Source organism: Homo sapiens, chromosome 3 (genome assembly GCF_000001405.40).
Source record: "Homo sapiens chromosome 3, GRCh38.p14 Primary Assembly".
NCBI classification, from domain to species: Eukaryota; Metazoa; Chordata; class Mammalia; order Primates; family Hominidae; genus Homo; species Homo sapiens.
In genome coordinates this window covers 9,538,560-9,560,359 of record NC_000003.12, presented here as the reverse complement: position 1 = coordinate 9,560,359, position 21,800 = coordinate 9,538,560, and the positions used below count along the sequence as shown (strand labels likewise).

Genomic DNA, 21,800 nt, shown 5'->3' with positions numbered 1-21,800 from the left:
CCGGGCAGAGGGGCTCCTCACTTCCCAGTAGGGGCGGCCGGGCAGAGGCGCCCCTCACCTCCCAGACGGGGCAGCTGGCCGGGCGGGGGGCTGACCCCCACCTCCCTCCCGGACGGGCTGGCTGCCGGGCAGAGGCGCTCCTCACTTCCCAGACGGGGCGACGGGGCAGAGGCGCTCCCCACATCTCAGACGATGGGTGGCCGGGCAGAGACGCTCCTCACTTTCCAGACTGGGCAGCCAGGCAGAGGGGCTCCTCACGTCCCAGAGGATGGGCGGCCAGGCAGAGACGCTCCTCACTTCCCAGATGGGATGGCGGCCGGGAAGAGGTGCTCCTCACTTCCTAGATGGGATGGCGGCCGGGCAGAGGCGCTCCTCACTTCCCAGACGGGGTGACGGGGCAGAGGCGCTCCCCACATCTCAGACGATGGGCGGCCGGGCAGAGACGCTCCTCACTTTCCAGACTGGGCAGCCAGGCAGAGGGGCTCCTCACATCCCAGAGGATGGGCGGCCAGGCAGAGACGCTCCTCACTTCCCAGACAGGGTGGCGGCCGGGCAGAGGCTGCAATCTCGGCACTTTGGGAGGCCAAGGCAGGCGGCTGGGAGGTGGAGGTTGTAGCGAGCCGAGATCACGCCACTGCACTCCAGCCTGGGCACCATTGAGCACTGAGTGAACCAGACTCCGTCTGCAATCCCGGCACCTCGGGAGGCCGAGGCTGGCGGATCACTAGCGGTTAGGAGCTGGAGACCAGCCCGGCCAACACAGCGAAACCCCGTCTCCAACCAAAAAATACGAAAACCAGTCAGGCGTGGCGGCACGCGCCTGCAATCGCAGGCACTCGGCAGGCTGAGGCAGGAGAATCAGGCAGGGAGGTTGCAGTGAGCCGAGATGGCAGCAGTACAGTCCAGCTTCGGCTCAGCATGAGAGGGAGACCGTGGAAAGAGAGGGAGAGGGAGACCGTGGGGAGAGGGAGAGGGGGGGAGAGGGAGAGGGAGAGGGAGAGCTATACAATATTAATGGCAAACAGCTTTTGAATGTTTTCTAAGTGCTCAGCACTTTGCATGCACAATATCTCATTCAATCTTCTTGAAAACTTTTGGAAGAAGACACTACTATTGTTATTCCCACTTTAAAGATGAGGAAACTGACACTTAAAAGCAGTTAATAAGGTGCAGAAATGGAACTCAGATGGTCTGATGCCAGTGCATGTATTTGTAACCAAATGATATGGATATAAAAAGGAAATGAGCAGTTGTAAAGAATTGAATCATAGGCCGGGCGGGCCTGGTGGTTCATGCCTGTAATCCCAACACTTTGGGAGGTTGAAGCTGGTGGATCACTTGAGGCCAGGAATTCGAGACCAGCTTGGCCAACACGGTGAAACCCCCATCTCTAGTAAAAATAGAAAAATTAGGCATGGTAGCACGCACCTGTAATTCCAGCTACTTGGGAGGCTGAGGCAGGAGAAACGCTTGAACCCGGGAGGCAGAGTTTGCAGTGAGCCAAGATCACGCCATTGCACTGCAGCCTGGGTGACAGAGCAAGACAGCGTTTCAAAAAAAAAAAAAAAAAAAAAAGAATCCACTCTTGAGAATGGTTTATATGACATGGCAATTAAGAATGTGGGCTTTGGAGCAGATTGCTTGGGGACGAACCCCAGCTCTTCTACTTGCTAGAGGTGTGACTTTGGGTAAATCAAAGAACCTCAGTGTCCTCATCTGTAAAATGGGCATACAGTAGTGCCTACCTATATTAGTTTGCTAGGGCTGCCATAACAAAATATTACAGCCTGTGTGACTTGAACAACAGAAATTAATTTTCTCACAGTTTTGGAGGCTAGAAGTCTAAACATTGGCAAATGTTTCTTCTGAGGCTTCTTTCCTTGGCTTATAAGTGGCTGCCTTCTTGCCGTGTCCTCGCACAGTTATCCTTGGTCTCTGTGTTGTCCATGTCTTAATCTCTTTTTATAAAGATTCCAGGCATTTTGGATTAGGGCCCACCCGTATGACCTCTTCTTATCTTCATCATCTCTTTAAAGGTCCTATCTCAAAATACAGTCACATTCTAAGGTACTGGGCAATTGGACTTTAACATATGAATTTTGTAGGGGACAGAATTCAGCCATAACACTACCTCACAGAGTTATTGTGAAGATTAAATGAGACAATACATGTAAGGCAATGAACAGGGGACCTAGAATGCAGTGAGAGCTACCAGCAAGTTGCAAATCATTCCTCAGCAGGATACTGGCTGGAAGTACCCAGGGCTTCTCTTCTTATCCAAATGCAGTCCAGCATCATCCTTGCTTAAGATCTACAGTCCCCATTTGAATCGCACAAGTCTTCCATTCTGGTCTGGCCCCTCCCTGGGGTCGATAAGATGTTCTTCCTGTAGAGAACTCTCAGATTTTCTTTCCGTAACTGCTCCAAGTTTAGTCTTTAAAATGAGAACACGTCCTGTCCCAGCTCCTCATGGCTCAGCAAGGGCATTTCCAATACTACTGCTCTTTCAACTCTTTGGACAAGTCATTTATTATTAAACTTTAATGATAATCACTTACATTTATAGCCTCTTTCAGTTTACAAAGCTCTTTTCCTATCCATTATCTCTTTTAATCCTTACAACATCTGTGGGAAGGAATTACGTTCTTCTCCATTTGACAAATGAAGAAAACACGGCTCTGAAGAGTACCATCGTCTTCCCAGGTTACACAGTTAACATGTGGCAGAGATGGGCTTCAAATTCTGGTCTTTTACTTTCAGTCTATCAGGAGTAGCTCACCCATCAAGGCATCTTTCTTTCTTTTCTTCCTTCCTTTCTTTCTTTCTTTCTTTCTTTCTTTCTTTCTTTCTTTCTTTCTTTCTTTCTCTTTCTCTCTTCCTCTCTCTCTTTCTTTCTTTCTTTCTTTCTTTCTTTCTTTCTTTCTTTCTTTCTTTCTTTCCTTCTTTCTCCGTCCTTCCTTCCTTCCTCTCTTGCTCTCTCTTTCTTTCTTTCTCTCTTTTTTTTTTTTTTCAGAGTTTCACTGTTGTCACCCAGGCTGGAGTGCAATGGTGCAATCTCGGCTCACTGCAACCTCCGCCCCCATGTTCAAGCACTTCTCTTGCCTCAGACTCCCGAGTATCTGGGATTACAGGCACAAGCCACCACACCTGGCTGATTTTTGTATTTTTAGTAGAGACAGGTTTCGCCATGTTGGCCAGGCTGGTCTTGAACTCCTGACCTCAGGTGATCCACCCGCCTTGGCCTCCCAAAGTGCTAGGATTACAGGTGTGAGCCACCATGCTTGGCCCAGGCACTTTTCTACAAAAGTGATATACTAGACAAATAATGCCCCTGCTCTCTCTCTTTCAGAGGAATGTAGGTAAGTTATTAAGGTTAGTTATTTTGATTGGAAGTGATTAAAAACTAACTCAAACTGACTTAAGCAAAAATTGAATTTATTGGGTAACCTTAAGAAAACAATTCAGAAGTAGATTTTCAGGCACAGATGGATGCAGATGCTCTAACTATGTCACCAGAATGCTCTCTCCATTTCTTCTTTCTTTCTTTCTTTCTTTCTTTCTTTCTTTCTTTCTTTCTTTCTCTCTCTCTCTTTCTTTCTTTCTCTCTCTCTCTCCCTCTTTCTTTCTTTTCTTTTCTTTCTTTTTCTTTTTGAGAGGAGTCTCATTCTGTTGCCCAGGCTGCAGTGCAGTGGTGGGATCTCAGCTCACTGCAACCTCTGCCTCCTGGGTTGAAGTGATTCTCCTGCCTCAGCCTCCCAAGTAGCTGGGATTACAGGTGCCCACTACCATGCCCAGCTAATTTTTGTATTTTTAGTAGAGATGGGGTTTTGCCATGTTGGCCAGGCTGGACTCAAACTCCTGATCTCAAGTGATCCGCCTGCCTCGGCCTCCCGAACTGCTGGGATTACAGGTGTGAGCCACCGTGCCTGGCCTCCCTCTCCATTTCATAGCTTCCCTTTGTGTCGACCTTATTCTTAGACAAGCTCTCTGCTGAAGCTCTGTCTCCACTAGCTTCAGCTCACAATTCCCTCAGTTCAACACACTCAATAGAAAGAGAACACCCCTTTTCTGTAAACGGCAATGCATGAGCTGGATATCATTCTCAACTCTTTGACTTGGGTTATGGGCCCACTCATGAACCAGTCACTGTGTCCAGGACAATGGAGTATTCTCATTGTCCAGGCCTGATCATTTGCCCCCTCTGGAGTGAAGTATGGAGTGTGTGTGTGTGTGTGTGTGTGTGACAGAGAGAGAGAGAAAGAGAGAGAGAGAGAGACCCACTAAGGGATCAAGTGAGGAGAAAGAAGATTCTTCAAATAAAAAGCACTGTTGTCAGAAGTGAGTGGGTGGTAGGTGGATCTCTACAGGGTGTCTTTGCTCTGCAGAGCAACCACAGAGGAACTGGGGGTCCATCTTAGCAAGAAGTCTCACTTCTTGCCTTGAGGAAGAGTAATAAGTGGACTTTTATGATTTTTTCCCAGGACTGCTTAGCTTGGCTCAGCAGGCTAGACAATAAGGCAATAATTCAAGCAGAGTATGGAGTAAAGAGTAATGAATAACCTGGTATGTTCAGGGCAGGACCCAAACCAGGAGCAGCCCCAGAGGGGACTCTGAGATGCTCTTTGATGATGGCCACCTCCCTGCTCCCTGCCCTCAGCATCTTCCATCTCCCTGTGAAGCTGTGAGCTCCATGAGAGCTCACCGGCAGGGACCACGTCTGTTTTACTGACCACCTTCTCCCCAGTGCTTAGCCTGGTAACTGTGCCTGGCACATGACAGGGGCCTCACACATTTATAGGATGATTGAATAAATTAATGAACCAGGTTGATCAGTCTGACTGGCAGGATCTATCTACCTCTCTGGATAAGTCAACCCCCTTCTTTGACCTCTGTTCCCCATCTGTAAAGTGGGAGAAGGTATAGAAAGAAACACTCTCCACAGACCCTGCAGCTCATGATTCCAGGATCACAGGGTTCTCAGGAAACAGCCAAGATGCGTCTCAAGAAGCCAAATGGAAGGGGAAATCAAATTTATTGAGCACCTCATGTTCAAGCGCTGAATGAGACTAATTCACGTGGTTCCCAGGTCTCCAAATTGTGGGATTTTATGGATCCATAACTTTAATAAAATTTGGGATTGAAATAGGCTATCTACTTTTTATTTTGGCAAATAAAGACATTTAAAAAACCTCCCGTTAACTATCACCACTATTTCTTAAAAGAAGTGAATTTTTTTTTTGCAAGAAGCAAGTAGGAAATACATAATCTCAAAACAAAAAGAGCAGTCCGACTTCCCCACTGGAAAAAAGACAGTTGGCAATCTTACATGATTTTTTTTTTTTTTTTTTTTTGCAGATAAAATTGCATTTCTTGTTGAAATTTCTTTTAGAGACGAGGTCTGTCTCTGTAGCGCAGGCTGGAGTGCAGTGGCACGATCATAGCCCACAGCAGCCTTGAACTCCTGGCCTCAAATGGTCCCCCCACCTTACCCTCCCTAGTAGCTGGGATGACAGGCACAAGACACTGTGCCCAGCTCCAGATACACATTTTGAGATTGACCCGTGTATGGGGTCCAGTATTTGAGACCTGCTAACATGGATTGCTTTTTGCCACCCCACCCCACTTACATGCCTGTGAAGTGTGACTTAAGCTGCCCACTTTACAGATGAGGAAACAGAGGTTTAGACAGAGTGGTAGTGCAAGGTCACAGAGACAGTTTTAGACTCAGTTTGTCTGGGTTCAAACCCACATCATCTTGACAGATCCTAAGCCAAAGGCTATTTTCCAGCAGGGAAAGAAATGAACCACGCCGGCTCCCCCTTGGGGTGCGCCTGGGGTGTTCTGTGACCTAACCCTGTGCCTGGCCTTTGATGCTTTTTCCTTAACACATCTTTATGGTGTGCCTACTTCATGCCAGGCGCTGAGCTGGGGGCAGGGGAGAGTGTAGGGAGGGAAACCAAAAATGTCCCAGCCCCTTTCTCTCCTGTCCCCTAGTACTCACTCCGGGTCTGGTTCCCCAGGCCTCGCTCCTTGCCCTGGCAGCCAACGAATCCCCATCGCAGGCGTGGGCTGCTACCAGTTTAAGGGGTTCCCTCTCCCAGGGGTGTTGGCAGTTTCCTAGGAGACTCTGGGAACCTTCAACGCCTCCAAGACCCAAAGGACTGAAAGCGTAATGGTGCAACTTCAGGCACTGTGATAGGTTCCAGGGGAGGTAATTGGGAGTAAGAGATCCGTTCAAATCCTGTCAAATAATACCCCCTCCAGCTCCTTCCCCACTCCCATAGGCTTTGTGGGGCCTCACAGCCCCTTAGCTCAGGCTGGAAGAAGGGAGTCCCCTACATCGGGGGCCCTACTGTGGAGGTGTGCTTGCTGCCCCGGCTGGGGGACCCCAGGTATCGTGGCCACCCTTCCCCCCAACTGCCAGAACCAGGAGCACCCTTCCCCGGTTCCGCCCCGCCCCGTCCCGCACGCCCGCTCGGGAGCGCGCCTCCGCCGGGCCGCGCCGGTGCACGAGAGCGCGCGCCTCGGCGCGGGAGCGCGCCCCGGGGAGAACCCGAGCAAGATGGAGGCCGCGCAGAGGCCGCCGCCTGGGCCGAGGCAGCCGCTGCTGGGAGCGCCGAGCCGCGGCGCCTAGGCCGTGCCAGTCCCGGATCCGCTGCCTCCGGCCGTGCCCAGGTTGGTCTCCCCGCACCCTTTCCCCGCGGCCGCAGCCTCGCGCGCGTCCGGCCTGGGCGCGGGGCAGCCGCCCCCCCAACCCCGGCCCTACTCGGGCCCGGCCGCTCCCCAGCCCCCCGGGGACAGCCCCTGCCCACCGCCTGCTCCTCGCGGGCCCCGCTGCTCACCGGCCCCGGTCTTTCGTTCCTTTGGCCTGGAAACCCCCTCTCTCCAACCCTGGCCCGCCAATCCTAGGCTCCCTCCAGCCTACCTCCAGCCCTGGCTTCTGAGGACAGCCCCCCCTTCCTCGCCCCGTGTCCAGCAGTCCCAGCCCCCGATCCCGCTCTAGCTGTATCCTAATTCTGCCACTTTGCCCTCTTAGACCCTCATACCAGCCCCCATTCCCCGTCCCAGCCCCCATATTACCTTCCCAACCACCCAGTCCCAGCCTCTTAAATTCCCTCTTCCCCCATCCTAGAAGCGCCCACCACCGCCTCATAGTCCCTTGCTAGACACCCAATACCAGACCTCCTTCTACCCCTTAATACCAGTCCCCAAATTCCCTTCTGAGCTCCCTAAATTCAGCCCCTCTGCTAGTCCTCCAACACCAGTCTCCAGCCTCCATTCCACCTCCCCTTGTCCCCTCCTACTCCCGTAATACCAGCTCTCAAACCCCCTCCCCAACTCCCCCATGGCCACTTTCAAGCACCTCCCCCCGCACTTCCAGGTCTCATATCCCCATCCTAGGCGCCCCCCAACTTTCTCATGGCCCCCTCCTAGGCCCCCCAGTAGGAGACCTTTGCCAGTCCCCCTAGACACGGCCTCAACACTCTCATGACCCCTTCCTCTCTCCCTTAGCAGCTCCCAGACGCCCCCAGCTCTGCCCCAGGCCCCGCCCTCGCGGGTTCCTTGACTCAGGGCCGCTTCTCGCGTGCGTCCCCAGCTCCCGCCCGGCAGCCCGGCGCTCCGTCCCGGGCCGGCGGCCCCCGCCAGCCGCCGCCGCCGCCGGCCCCGCCTCCGGGCACCATGCTGCCCTCGCAGGAGGCCTCCAAGCTCTACCACGAGCACTACATGCGGAACTCGCGGGCCATCGGCGTGCTGTGGGCCATCTTCACCATCTGCTTCGCCATCATCAACGTGGTGGTCTTCATCCAGCCCTACTGGGTGGGCGACAGCGTGAGCACCCCCAAGCCTGGCTACTTCGGCCTCTTCCACTACTGCGTGGGCAGCGGGCTGGCGGGCCGCGAGCTCACCTGCCGGGGCTCCTTCACCGACTTCAGCACCATCCCGTCCAGCGCCTTCAAGGCGGCCGCCTTCTTCGTGCTGCTCTCCATGGTGCTGATCCTCGGCTGCATCACCTGCTTTTCGCTTTTCTTCTTCTGCAACACGGCTACGGTCTACAAGATCTGCGCCTGGATGCAGCTCTTGGCAGGTAGGGGAGGGGGTGGACGGAACTCCCAGAACAAGCGCCAGGGACGGGGCTCCTTCCTGCCAGGTCCCCTTCCTGAAGGAGTCGGATAGATTCTGCTTCTCTGTGTTAAGACACTCACCTCTTTGGCTGACGGACCCTCAGTGGGTATTGGGGAGGGGGTACGCTGCAGAGAGACACCTTAGGGCAGGGGACAGAGCCTTGGGACTGGGTGGGTGGGTCTGTATGCTTGGGTATGGGTACGCTGCATTTATTGCTCGGTTAGCATTAAGTTAGTGTCTCTAAGGGTCTCTGTTGGCTGTCTTGGGGGAAATATTTATCTGAGTGAGGGGTTACTGTAGGTATGATCAATTTCTGTTATGTTGAAAAAAAGCATGAAATGGTGAATCAAGAGATCTGGCTTGGACTTTTAATTTGTTGACACTATCAACTTGGGTGTTTCACTTTACTTCTCTGAGGCTCGGTTTCCTCATCTGTAAAACAGGGGAGAAGATTCCAAAAGGACAAATGAAAGAGTGTTTTGTAACCTTTAAAATGCTGTGATAAGGGGGAGAGGCTGTCTATTGTGCTTATCCACTGTTTGAGATGTGAGTGGTTGAAAGCATTGGGTGATATGGGTCTCTGGAGGGCAGGTCTCCATCCCCACTCCCACCCCTGCACCATGCAAGAAAGTTCTGGTGCCATGCCCAATGGGAGTGAGTCCCTGAGACCCTCCGAAATGTTTGACCAAGACAGTCATCTTACCCTAAGAACCAGAGAAGGGCTTTTTGGGAATGAGAAATGCTGAGACAGTTTTCCAGGATCCATTAGAGTCCCCCACTTCCACCCACCTTTCGATCAGAGATAGATTTTGAAGACTCAGCAACTTGGGCTTTTGCCTAATTGCTGGCAGGGAAGAGAGTTGGACTGGGGAAAGTGGGGCCAGGGGATGGGAGGGGTGGGGGAGGAGAGCTAGTGAAGGGAAAAGTTTGGAGTCTTCCAGGGATGAGAAAGAGAAGGGGGAAATGTGATTATCATGCAGCAGAGATGGTTTTTTAAAATAAGCACCTCAGGACATTCAACAAGTGACTGCCATTCCAAAAGAGACCCCCTGGAGGAGGCATTATATCACTTGCTGATGATTCCATTGTTCAGAGCATTGCAGGGAATTAGCTTTGGAGCATGGGGTGTAATCACTTGAATATCTTCATTGAGGAGAAACCTCTATCTTTTAAAGGAGGAATGTAACTTTTGGAAATGGCTGGAAGTCACTCCAGATCAAGTATAGAGAATACGATGGGTCATCAAATTGATAATTGTCACTTGGAATGACAGCCAAGGTGTGAGGACAAAGTCATGAGGCTGGTCTGTTTCCACAAGAGGACTTTTACAAATCCAGGGAGGAATTACTGCCTCATTGGAAGAATTGCCCAAACTCCTAAAAGGACTATTTTGAAGAAGGCAGATGTGGACATTCTAATGGGCTTGTTTCAAATTCATCTCACCCAACTCAATTTAGATGTGGATCTTTGAAGAGGGTGGGAAAGGTGAACTATAGGATATGGGGGATATGGCTCCATACTTCTCTGTGGTACCCAGGGAGGTGATATTATGTATTTCTATTCTATTTCTCCTGCAAAGGCAAGCTGGAATCCTCAACTCATCAACCTTAATTTGGAGTCTGCAGATGGGTTGCTGACCTCTTGGCTTTCAAATTCTCTGTAATCTGTGTGGGTTTAATCCTGGGGATTTGATGAATTGTCCAACAACCCCCATATAATAATAGAATTTCAGGCACCTTAGAGATCAGCTCCTTCAAATCCCACCTTCCCCTCCCCCTGTTTTAGAGAGAGGAAACTGAGTATAGAGATGGGAAGGGCTTACTTGAGGTCACACAGCTGTTAAGGGAGGAAGCTAGTTCTACAGCCGGGGGTCCTTGACTTCTGGCCCAGGGCACTTTTGCTTGCATTACTGCCCCACCCATGTGGGCTGAGGGGGCAGTTGGCAGAGTTGAGCAGTTTATTCCATTTTGTTCAGAGATTTCTGAGTTCTCTGGGTGAGTGACTGATTCACTTTGCTTAATAAAGTGACACCAGGCCAGAAGCCAGACCACTGGACTACGAGTCTTGGGGTGGGGGTTCTTGGCTGACTTGGGTCTGTGACTCACCATGCAGTGTTAAGTAAGCCTTTTAGTTTAAATCTCAATTTCCCATTTGTACAATAGGGGACTGGGAGCAGGTAGATAAGGTGATTTAAAGTATCTCTTGGCCAGGCATGGTGGCTCATGCCTATAATCCCAGCACTTTGGGAGGCTGAGGTGGGAAGATTGCTTGAGGCCAGGAGTTGGAGATTAGCCTGGCCAACATAGCAAGACCCTGTCTCTGCAAAAAATAACATAAAATAAGTAAAAAATAAAGTATCTCTTTCAGCCCTGTGGGGATCCTGGGACAACTCTTTCATCAAGATCATTCCATTCAGAAAGTGATAAATCAGTCATCCTCAGAGGAACTGTGGAGAATCAAAGGGCTCTGTTTTTGTCAGATAAGAATTAAAGTGCCTCTCATATGATTTTGTACCTGTTAACTTTTTTTTTAAATTTTGAGACGGAGTTTCACTCTTGTTGCCCAGGCTGGAGTGCAATGGCATGATCTTGGCTCACTGCAAGCTCCGCCTTCTGGGTTCAAGTGATTCTCCTGCCTCAGCCTCCTGAGTAGCTGGGATCACAGGTGCCTGCCACAACGCCTGGCTAATTTTTTGTATTTTTAGTAGAGATGGGGTTTCGCCATGTTGGCCAGGCTAGTCTCAAACTCCTGACCTCAGGTGATCCACCCGCCTCAGCCTCCCAAAATGCTGGGATTACAGGCATGAGCCACCATGCCTGGCCTGTTCCTGTTAACTTTTATTCAAGTATTTTAGGGTCTTCTGAGTGCAGAGCATGGGGGCATTGGGAAAATACAAAAAGATATTTATTCTTTTGTTTGTTCTTCACCAGCTCTATAACCATCCCTATGCTTAGTCCTGTAATACTGAGATGCATAAGACATCATCCCTGTCTCCAAGGATCTTAGGTCTATAAAATGCAATTCCTGCTCTCAGGGAGCATACTGTCTAGTTACGTCACTATATTAGTCAGCAGTTTTTCAGTGGCAAATGACAGAAACCCAACTCGAGCTGGCTTAAATAAATTAGAAAAAAATAAAGAGGCTAGGGTTTATCGGCTCACTTAATTTGAAAGTCAGGAGTATTTGGCTTCGGGCATGGACAGATCCAGATGTTCAAATCACGCCATGAAGAATCTGTCTCTCTCCATTTCTTGGTTCCTCTGTGCTCGCTCATTTTAAATCCACTTCTGTCTTCAAGGTGACAAATAAGGCTACTAGTAGATCTAATTTACATTGTTTCAGCTTAGCAGTGCTTGTGGAAAAAGAATAATTCCAGCAAACGTTCCAGGGCTGAGCCAGATTGGCCCAGCTTGGTCAAGTGTCCACCTCTTAATTAATCATGGTGACTCTGTCTAAGGCCCGAGCCACATGCCTATCCCTGGAACCACACATGGACTGATAGTGGAGAAAGGCCAATTCCCTCAAAGATAAATCAAGTGTGAGCACTGGAAGAGGGGTAGCATGGGCAAGACAAGCGCCAACAGAAGTTTTCCCCTGGGCAGTCTGAGCACTAATATGTGCGGGCTGGAAATGCCATGGAAACCCGGAGCAGCAGAGGGGGCTGCCAGCTTAGTTGGGAAGCGAGGCTTGAGCTGGGCAGGGTGTTACCAGGTGGGAGGTATGAGAGAGCATCCTGAATGGAGAGGAAGATCATGGGCAAAGACACAGCGGTGAGAAAGACACATCTGGCTTGAGTGTGGCATCCACATAGGGGAGCAGCATGAGGAGAGGAGAGGAAGGAATTATGGGGGCCACAGTATGCTGGGTCAAAGAATTTCGACTTTAATCAGCAGCAGTTGGATACTGCTATGACTGTTATCATTATTACAGAAAAATAGCTAACATTTTACATGCATTATATAATTTGATACTCACAACAATCTTGTGGAGTAGGTACCATTATTCATATTGTATAGGTGAGATCAAGCTGAGCTTCAAAGAGGAAAAAGTCATTTGTCCAAGGTCATACAGTTGGTAAGTGGTGGAGCCCGAATTGTAACTCCATATGTCTGACTCTAAAACCGGAGATCAGCCAGGCTCGGTGGCTCATGCCTGTAATCTCAGCACTTTGGGAGGCTGAAGCAGGCTGATCACTTGAGCTCAGGAGTACAAGACAAGCCTGGGCAACATGGTGAAACCCTGTCTCTACAAATAATACAAAAATTAGCCAGTTGTGATGGCATGTGCCTGTAGTCCCAGCTACTCAGGAGGGTGAGGCGGGAGGATCGCTTGAGCCTGGGAGGCGGAGGTTGCAGTGAGCCATGATCATGCCACTGCACTCCAGCCTGGATGACAGAGTGAGACCCTGTCTCAATAAAAGAAAACAAAACAAAACAAAACAAAACAAAGAACAAAAATCTCCGAGATCTTGGTTAAAGGAGGATTAATTGTGGGGATAGCAACAGCATGTTTTTGCCAGAAGAGTCAACTGCTAACTAAGTAGAGAGGCAGGATATCTCTGCTACGTTTTTTACCCGGTTGTTCCCATTTACTAAGAATATCCAATGTGCCAGCTTCTATGCTAGACGTTTTCACACTCGTTGTCATTTAATCCTCATCTGTTGAAATAACTTGCTCCAAGGTCACACATTTAGTGAAAGGTGGAGCTAAAACTCAACGCAAGTCTAATACAGATCTAGAACCTGTTTGTATCACTGAACTGGAACCCAGGAAGTGAATACACAAATTACAGAGCTATAATCTCCATGGACTAAATGTTACCTGTGGGCCCGGTGTAGTTAGCCGGGGGACACTCCCAACTGGGTTTGAGATTCAAGGTGAAGTGTGGTTAAGGGTCGGGGGTGCCAGGATAAGTATGTGCTAGTCGTGTAAGACCACAGGACTTATGGCCAGGCACAGTGGCCCAGGCCTGTAATCTCAGCATTTTCGAAGGCTGAGGCAGAAGGGTTGCTTGAGTCTAGGAGTTTGAGACCAGCCTGGGCAACATAGTGAGACCCCATCTCTACAAATAATTTAAAAATTAGCCGGATGTGGTGGCACTCGCCTGTGGTCCCGGCTACTCAGGAGGCTGAGGTGGGAGGATTACTTGAGCTCAGGAGGTTGAGGCTGCAGTGAGCCATGATCATGCCGCTGCACTCTAGCCTGGGCAACAGAGCCAGACCGTGTCTCAAAAATAAAACAAAACGAACCAAGAATAGAGGACTTAGAATCCCTGCTCTTCCACTTTCCAACTGTGGGCCTTGGAGAAATGGGTTTGCCTCTCTGAATCTCAGTTTCTCCATCTATAAAAATAGAAATTATCATTGCACCTGCTTTGGAAATGAAGGTAGTAAAATGCTGAGTGTGGTCCTGGTGTATGAGAAGCATTCAATACATAGTCGCTGTTACTCTTGTGACATAGTCCGAGGGAAGAGCAGTTTGTGAGGGATCTTTGACACTTAGAGTTTGGACTTGCTGGGATGACCAAAGGGCTTAAGAAGGCATAAACTGTCAGCTGGAAAGAGTCTTATCAATCCACTTCCCCAACTCCCTCATTTTAAAGATGTAAGGACTGGGTCTGAGTCTCAGAGAGAAGGGACAAGTTCATGGTGACAGAGTGAGACTTGTACCCAGACCTATCCTCATTCCATGGAAGGGAGGTGGTTCTGACCACATTCATTCAATACTAAGTGCTTATTGTGTGCCAGGCACCACCCTGGTACCTGGACCGCAGCAGAGAATAGAATGTGTAGAATGGAATGGAAGCTGGTGGACCCTGGAGGTGGGAGGAGGCAGGTAGAGGGGTTTGGGGGATCTAGAAGTGAGTACCTTTCAGCCTTCCAGTTGTGTGTTCTTTTTTTCTTTTTCTTTTTTTTTTTTTTCAGACCGAGTCTCCCTCTGTCACCTAGGCTGGAGTGCAGTGGTGCGATCTCAGCTCACTGCAATCTCTGTCTCCCGGGTTCAAGCGATTCTTCTGTCTCAGCCTACTGAGTAGCTGGGATTACAGGCACGTGCCACCACACCTGGCTAATTTTTTGTATTTTTAGTAGAGACAGGGTTTCACCATGTTGGCCAGGCTGGTCTCGAACTGCTGACCTCAAGTGATCCGCTGGCCTCGGCCTCCCAAAGTACTGGGATTACAGGTGTGAGCCACTGCACCTGGCCCAGATGTGTGTTCTTAATTATCAGGGTCTCTGGGCTAGGAACCTCAACCAGGAACTCCCATCACTATGGCATAGAATATTCATCTACATTTCTCTCCATTTCTTTCTTTCTTTTCTTTTATTTGAAACTGAGTCTGGCTCTGTTGTCCAGGCTGGAGTGCAGTGGTGCGATCATGGCTTACTGTAACCCTGGGCTCCCGGGCTTAAGAAATCCTCCCACCTCAGCTCCCTCAGTAGCTAGAACTACAGGCACACACCACCATGCCTTGTTAATTATTTTATTTTATTTTATTTTATCTTATTTATTTATTTATTTTGAGATGGAGTCTCACTCTGTTGCCCAGGCTGGAGTGCAATGGCATGATCTTGGCTCACTGCAACCTCCACCTCCTGGGTTCAAACAATTTCTAGCTAATTTTTGTATTTTTTAGTAGAGATGGGGTTTCACCATGTTGGCCAGGCTGGTCTTGAACTCCTGACCTCAGGTGATCTGCTCACCTTGGCCTTTATTCTATTTTTTGTAGAGACAGGGTCTCACTATGTTTCCCAGACTGTTCAACTCTTGGCCTTAAGTGATCCTCCCACCTTGGCCTCCCAAAGTGCTGGAATTACCGGCCTGAGCCACCATGCCCAGCACATTGCCCTGGGTCTTGTTTCAGATTTGATTTGGAATTTTATTCTTCCACTGTCTTTGTTGTATGTGCGTGATACTGATAAACACATTGAGAGAATTTCTTTCCGCTTTCCCTCCTCCTCTCCCTCTTTCCTCTGTTCCTCCCTCATTTCTTTCTTCCTCCCCCAATTCTCCCTTCCTTCCTCTCTCTTTTTTAGTACTTTTGAGTCACTGTTTTACCTTCTTTCCTCTCTTCTGTTCTCCTTTCCTTCCCTCCCTTTACTTTTGCCTCACTTCCCTCTCCCCACCCCTCTTCTTGTGTTTCTCACATCAACCCTTTACTGACCGTGTCGTGTGTGTGTGTCAGGCACTGTGCTAGCCTCTAGAAATCCTGAGTAAGAATCCTTGCTCCCAGGGAGCTCATAGTCTGATGGGAGAGGCAGGAACAAAAACAGATCATCACAATATGGTACAATACATGAAATGGGAGATTCATGTACAGGGTATTCTGAGGGCAGGGAGGGGACTTCCAACACAGTTAAAGAGAGCCAGGGAAGTCTTCCCAAAAGGGTAACATTTGAGCTGAGTCTTAAAGGATGGGTAGGAAAGAGGAACAGGATGATCACAGGCATGGAGGTGGGAATAGTAGCTGTATCTGGGGACTCTAAGCAACTAGGCCAGGAAAGGTAAGAGTTGAGACTGGGGAAGTGGGCCAGAGCTGGATTGTAGAGACCTTCTAAGTCATGGTAAGGAGTTTAGACTTTATTTGTTTTTGTTTGTTTGTTTGTTTGTTTTGAGATAGAGTCTCACTCTATGGCCTGGTCTGGAGTGCAGTGGTCTGATCTCGGCTCACTGCAACCTCTGCCTCCCGGGTTCACGCAATTCTCCTGCTTCAGCCTCCCGAGTAGCTGGGAGTACAGGTGCCCACCACCATGCCTAGCTAATTTTTGTATTTTTAGTAGAGACGGGGTTTCACCATGTTGGCCAGGCTGGTCTTGAACTCCTGACCTTGGGTGATCCACCTACCTCGACCTCCCAAAGTACTGGGATACAGGCATGAGCCACCATGCCTGACCCCAGACTTTACTTGTAGACAGCAGTTCATTGTTAAAGGGTTTTTTTTTTTTAATTTTTATTGTAATTATTTCCAGACTTTTGACTCTTTGGAAAAGTAATACATGTACAAGAGACAAAATTTGGAAGGTAAAAAGGGTACACAGGCAGACATAAGTCTCCTTTCCATCCTCTCCCCCACCTGTTTCTCCCAGAGACAACCCCCATTACCAGTTTCTTGAGTACCCTTTCCAAGAAATTTCTTAAATATGCAAGCAAATGCAAATGGTGTTTTTACATAATTAGAGTATTATTTATCTATAGCTGCATAACAAATTACCCCAGGCTGGGTGCACTGGCACTCATCTGTAATCCTAGCACTTTGGGAGGCTGAGGTGGGCTGATCACTTGAGCCCAGGAGTTTGAGACCAGCCTGGGCAACATGGTGAAACCCCATCTCTACAAAAACTAGCTGGGCATGGTGGCACACGCCTGTAATTCCACCTACTCAGGAGATTGAGATGGAAGGGTCACCTGAGCCCAGAGAGGTCAAGGCCGCACTGAGCCGTGATTGTGCCACTGCACTCCAGCCTGGGTGACAGAGTGAGATGTTGACTCAAAAAAAAAAAAAAAAAAACCAAAACCAAAAACAAACAAATCACCCCAAAACGTAGTCGCCTGAGTCAACAAGCATTTATGATATTTGTTTCTATAAAGTCAGAGTACTTTGGGAGCAGCTTAGATGGGCAGGTAGCTATGACTCAGGGTCTCTCATGAAGTTGCAACCAAGACCTCAGCTGGGGCTACAGTCATCCTAAGGATAACTGGGCTAGAGGACCCACTTTTTTTTTCTTTTTTTTTTGTTTTGAGACAGAATCTCATTCTGTTGCCCAGGCTGGAGTGCAGTGGTGCGATCTCGGCTCACTGCAAGCTCCGCCTCCTGGGTTCTGCGATTCTCCTTCCTCAGCCTCCCGAGTAGCTAGGTCTACAGGCGCCCGCCACCACGCCCAGCTAATTTTTTGTATTTTTAGTAGAGACGGGGTTTCACCATGTTAGCCAGGATGGTCTCGATCTCCTGACCTCGTGATCCGCCCACCTCGGCCTCCCACAGTGCTGGGATTACAGGCGTGAGCCACCATGCCCGGCCGAGGACCCACTTTTAAGTTCATTCATGTGGGTGCCGGCAGGAGACCTGAGAATGAGTGCTCCGAGAGAGAAAAAGGAAGAAGCCACACTGCCCACCCCCTTTTTGTGGTATCAGTTGTATTGAGATATAATTCATATGTCATATAATTCACCCATATCAAGTGAACTATTACATGGTTTTTAATACATTCATGGAGTTATGCAACCATGACCACAACCAGTTTTAGGATATTTTTCATTATCTCAGAAAGAAACCTCATGCACTTTAGCTATCACCCATTAACCCCTGACCCTCCTTCCTTCTCAGCCCTAAGCAACCACTAATTTATTTTCTGTCTCTATGTATTAGCCTATTCTAGACACTTCATATAAATGGGATCATATAACATGTGACTTTTTTTTTTTTTTTTTTTTGAGATAGGGCCTTGCTCTGTTACCCAGGCTGGAGTACAGTGTTGCAATCATAGCTCACTGCAGCCTCAGTCTCGGGCTCAAGCGATCCTTTCATCTCAGCCTCCCAAGTAGCTGGGACTACTGGCACGTGTCACCATGCCCGGCTAATTTTTTTAAAACTTTGGTAGAAACGAGGTCTCTCTATGTTGCCCAGGCTGGTCTTGAACTCTTGAACTCAAGCAATCCTTCCACCTCGATCTCCCAAAGTGATGGGATTACAGGTGTGAGCCACCATGTCAGGGCACTATATAGTCTTTTGTGACTGACTTTTTTCACTTAGCATAACATTTTCAAAGTTCATTCATGTTAGAGCACATATCAATATTTCATTTCTTTTTATGGCTGAATAATATCCCCTTGAATGGGCATACCATGTTTTGTTTATCCATTCATCAGCTGATGGACATTTGGGTTGTTCCACCTTTTGGCTATTATGAAGAATGCTATAAACATTTGTATACAAATTTCTTTTTTTTCTTTTTGAGACAGAGTCTCGCTCTGGTGCCCAGGCTGGAGTGCAGTGGTGGGATCTCAGCTCACTGTAAGCTCCACCACCTGGGTTCAAGCGATTCTTGTGCCTCAGCCTCCCAAGTAGCTGGGATTACAGGCAGATGCCACCACACTTGGCTAATTTTTGTAGTTTTAGTAGAGATGGGGTTTCACCATGTTGGCCAGGCTGGTCTCGATCTCTCGACCTCAGGTGATCCTCCCTCCTTGGCCTCCCAAAATGCTGGGATTACAGGCATGAGTCACCACGCCTGGCCTTGTGTACAAGTTTCTAGGTAGACACATGCCTTCATTTCTCTTGGGTACTTACCTAGAAGTAGAATTGCCTGGACAAATGAGAACTCTGTATTTAAAATTTTGAGAAACTGACAGATGTTCCCAAAGTGGCTTGCCAAATCCAAGATTGCAAAGATTTACCCCTGTTTTCCTCTAAAGGTTTTGTCGTTTTGGCTCTTACATTTAGGTCTTTGATCCATTTTTTTTTTCTTTGAGGCGAAATTTTGCTCTGTCACCCACGCTGGAGTGCAGTGGTGCGATCTCGACTCATTGCAACCTCTGCCCTCCAGGTTCAAGTGATTATCCTGCCCCGGCCTCCCTATTAGATGGGATTACAGGCACACGCCACCACACTTGGCTAATTTCTGCATTATTAGTAGAGACAGGTTTTCACCATGTTGGCCAGGCTGGTCTCAAACTCCTGACCTCATGTGATCCACCCGCCTTGGCCTCCCAAAGTGCTGGGATTACAGGCGCGAGCCATGGTGCCCAGCCTTTGATCCACTTTGAGTTAATATTTGTATACGGTGTGACATACAGGGTCCAACATCATTCTTTTGCATGTGGCTATTCAGTTTCCCAGCACCAAGGTTGTTCTTTTTCCACTGAATGGTTCTGGTACCCTTGTCAAATGTCAATTGACTATAGATACATAGATTGCTTTCTAGACTCTCAATTCTATTCCATTGGTCTATATGTCTATCCTTATGCCAGACCAGACTGTCTTTTAAAAATTTTTATTTTGCCGGGTGCGGTGGCTCACGCCTGTAACCCCAGCACTTTGGGAGGCCAAGGTGGGTGGATCATGAGGCCAGGAGTTCGAGACCAGCCTAACCAACATGGTGAAACCCCGTCTCTACTAAAAATACAAAAAATATTAGCTGGGTGTGCTGGCACACACCTGTAATCCCAGCTACTCAGGGAGGCTGAGGCAGGAGAATCGCTTGAACCCAGGAGGCAGAGGTTGCAGTGAGCTGAGATCATGCCATTGCACTCCAGCCTGGGTGACAGAGTGAGACTCCATCTCAAAAAAAAAAATTATTTTATTTTTAAAATTTATTTTCATTTCTTATTTTTTATTATTATTTTTTTTTGAGACAGGGTCCCACTCTGTCGCCCAGGCTGGAGTGCAGTGGTGTGATCACGGCTCACTGTAGCCTTACTCAACTGATCCTCCCACCTCAGCCTCCCCAGTAGCTGGGACCACAGGCATACACCACCATGCCTCATTAATTTTTTTTTTTTTTAAATTTTTGAAAAGACAGATTCTTGCTATGTTGCCCAGGCTGGTCTCAACTTCCTGAGCTCAAGCAGTCCTCCCTCTTAGCCTCTCAAATTGCTGGGATGACAGGCATGAGCCACTATGACCAACCCAGGCTGTCTTGATTACTGTCACTTTCTAGTCAGTTTGAAATCAGAAAGTGTGAGTCCTCCAACTTTGTTCTTCATTTTCAAGGTTGTTCTGGCTATCACACTGCCTTTTATGTCCTGATAGCAGACATCACACACCATCACTTCTGCCACACTCTATTACAAGAAGTAAGTTCCTAAATCCAGCCCACATTCTAGAAGAGGAGAATTAGGATCCTTCTCTTGAAGGGAGGAATATCAAAGAATTTGTGGACATATTTCCAAGCCACTGCTAATGGTAATATACTAAACATTTGGTTCTGTGGCTTGCTTTTTCACTCAACAATACATCTTGGAGATAGTTCCATATCAGTGTATAAAGAGCCACCTTTTTCTTAACAGCCACGTAATAAACTTTTCTATAGGTGCATCACAATTTAAATAATATTTATTTACAATATTTTGCTATAATAATGCTTCAGTTAATAATGTTATATGTAAATAATCTAATACATATGTAAGTATAAGGATAAAGCCCTAGAAGGGGAATTGCTGGTTAAGTGGTATATACATTTACAATTTGACAGATCTATCAACAGTGTCCTTCACAGACGTTGTACAAAGTTACACTCCCACCAGCGATGTATGATAGTACCTGTTCCTCCATGTCCTTGTTAACTGAGTGTGTTATCAAATATTTCATTTTTTTCCACCCTGATAGAAAACACTCTCTTATTGTGGTAATTTGCCTTTCTATTATTATGAATGAGATTGAATACCTCTTTTATATATGTAATTGTTATATTATATATATATTTTTAAACTGTCATTTCTTAAATTTTGAAAATCAATGTAATGGCATTTTTCCACTTTGATTTGTAAGAGCTCTTTATCTACTAAGAAAGGTAGCCTTCTGTGTGTGAGATGAGTTACAAATATTGCTTCTCAGTTTATCTTTTGACTTTGTCTATGGATTTTTCCCCCATGGGGAAATTATTTTCTTTTTACTATAAGCAAATTCCCTCTTTTATGGTTGCTGGGTTTAGTGTTATACCTAGAAAGGCTCTGAAGTGTTTCAAGTCTGAGGGGAACATGATCGGATCTGGTTGTTGGTGGAGAGGATGGATTGGAGGTATCAGGAGGACAAGGGTTGAACTATTCCTTTTTTTTTTTTTTTTTTGAGACGAAGTTTCACTCTATTGCCCAGGCTGGGGTGCAGTGGTGCAATCTCGGCTCATTGCAAGCTCCACCTCCTGGGTTCAAACAATTCTCCTGCCTCAGCCTCCCAAGTAGCTGGGACTACAGGCGCCCACCACCGTGCCCAGCTAATTTTTGTATTTTTTAGTCGAGATGGAGTTTTGCCATGTTGACCAGGCTGGTCTGGAATTCCTGACCTCAAGTGATCCACTCACCTCAGCCTCCCAAAGTGCTGGATTACAGGTGTGAGCCACCATGCCCAGCCCCAGAGGAATTTAATGCATTATGAGTGCCCTGGATCAGGAATCTGTACCTGGCATATAGGTGCTTAATTAATGTCTATTGAATGAATTAATGATGATATCTGATTTAAGTCTCAGCTCTGCCACCCATTCCTTTGGAGGCAGCACAGTTTAGTGGTCAGAAAACCTGAATTTGGGCCAGGTGTGGTGGCTCACATCTATAATCCCAGCACTTTGAGAGGCCAAGGTGGGCAGATCACCTGAGGTCAGGGGTTCAAGACCAGCCTGGCCAATGTGGTGAAATCCCATCTCCACCAAAAATACAAAAAATTAGCCGGGCGTGGTGGTGCATGCCTGTAATCCCAGCTACTCAGGAGGCTGAGACAGGAGAATCCCTTGAACCAGGGAGGCGGAGGTTGCAGTGAGCCAAGATTGCGCCATTGCACTCCAGCCTGGGTGACAGAGCAAGACTCTGTCTAAAAAAAAAAAAAAAGAAAGAAAACCTGAATTTAAATTCTGACTGTGGTGTTACCAACTAAGTGCTCTCAGGAATATTACCTGATTTCTGAGTCTCGGTTTACTCACCTATAAAATGGGGACAATAATAATAACTGCCTCATGGCGCTGTTGAAGGAT

General features: G+C 48.0%; 1 protein-coding gene across 2 annotated transcripts in view; it reads left to right on the top strand.

The window, feature by feature from the left end:
- Window positions 1-6,537: 6,537 nt before the first annotated feature.
- LHFPL4 (LHFPL tetraspan subfamily member 4) overlaps window positions 6,538-21,800 on the top strand; it is a 55,462-nt gene continuing 40,199 nt past the window's right edge. The window contains exons 1-2 of one of the 2 annotated variants that reach the window (NM_198560.3): window positions 6,538-6,675; window positions 7,513-8,086. In NM_198560.3, the coding sequence (NP_940962.1) occupies window positions 7,681-8,086 (406 nt within the window). In that variant the 5' untranslated portion in view covers window positions 6,538-6,675; window positions 7,513-7,680. Of the gene's footprint in view, window positions 6,676-7,512; window positions 8,087-9,299; window positions 10,503-21,800 lie in introns of those variants that run through there. The other variant, XM_017006360.2, reaches the window with a different exon arrangement.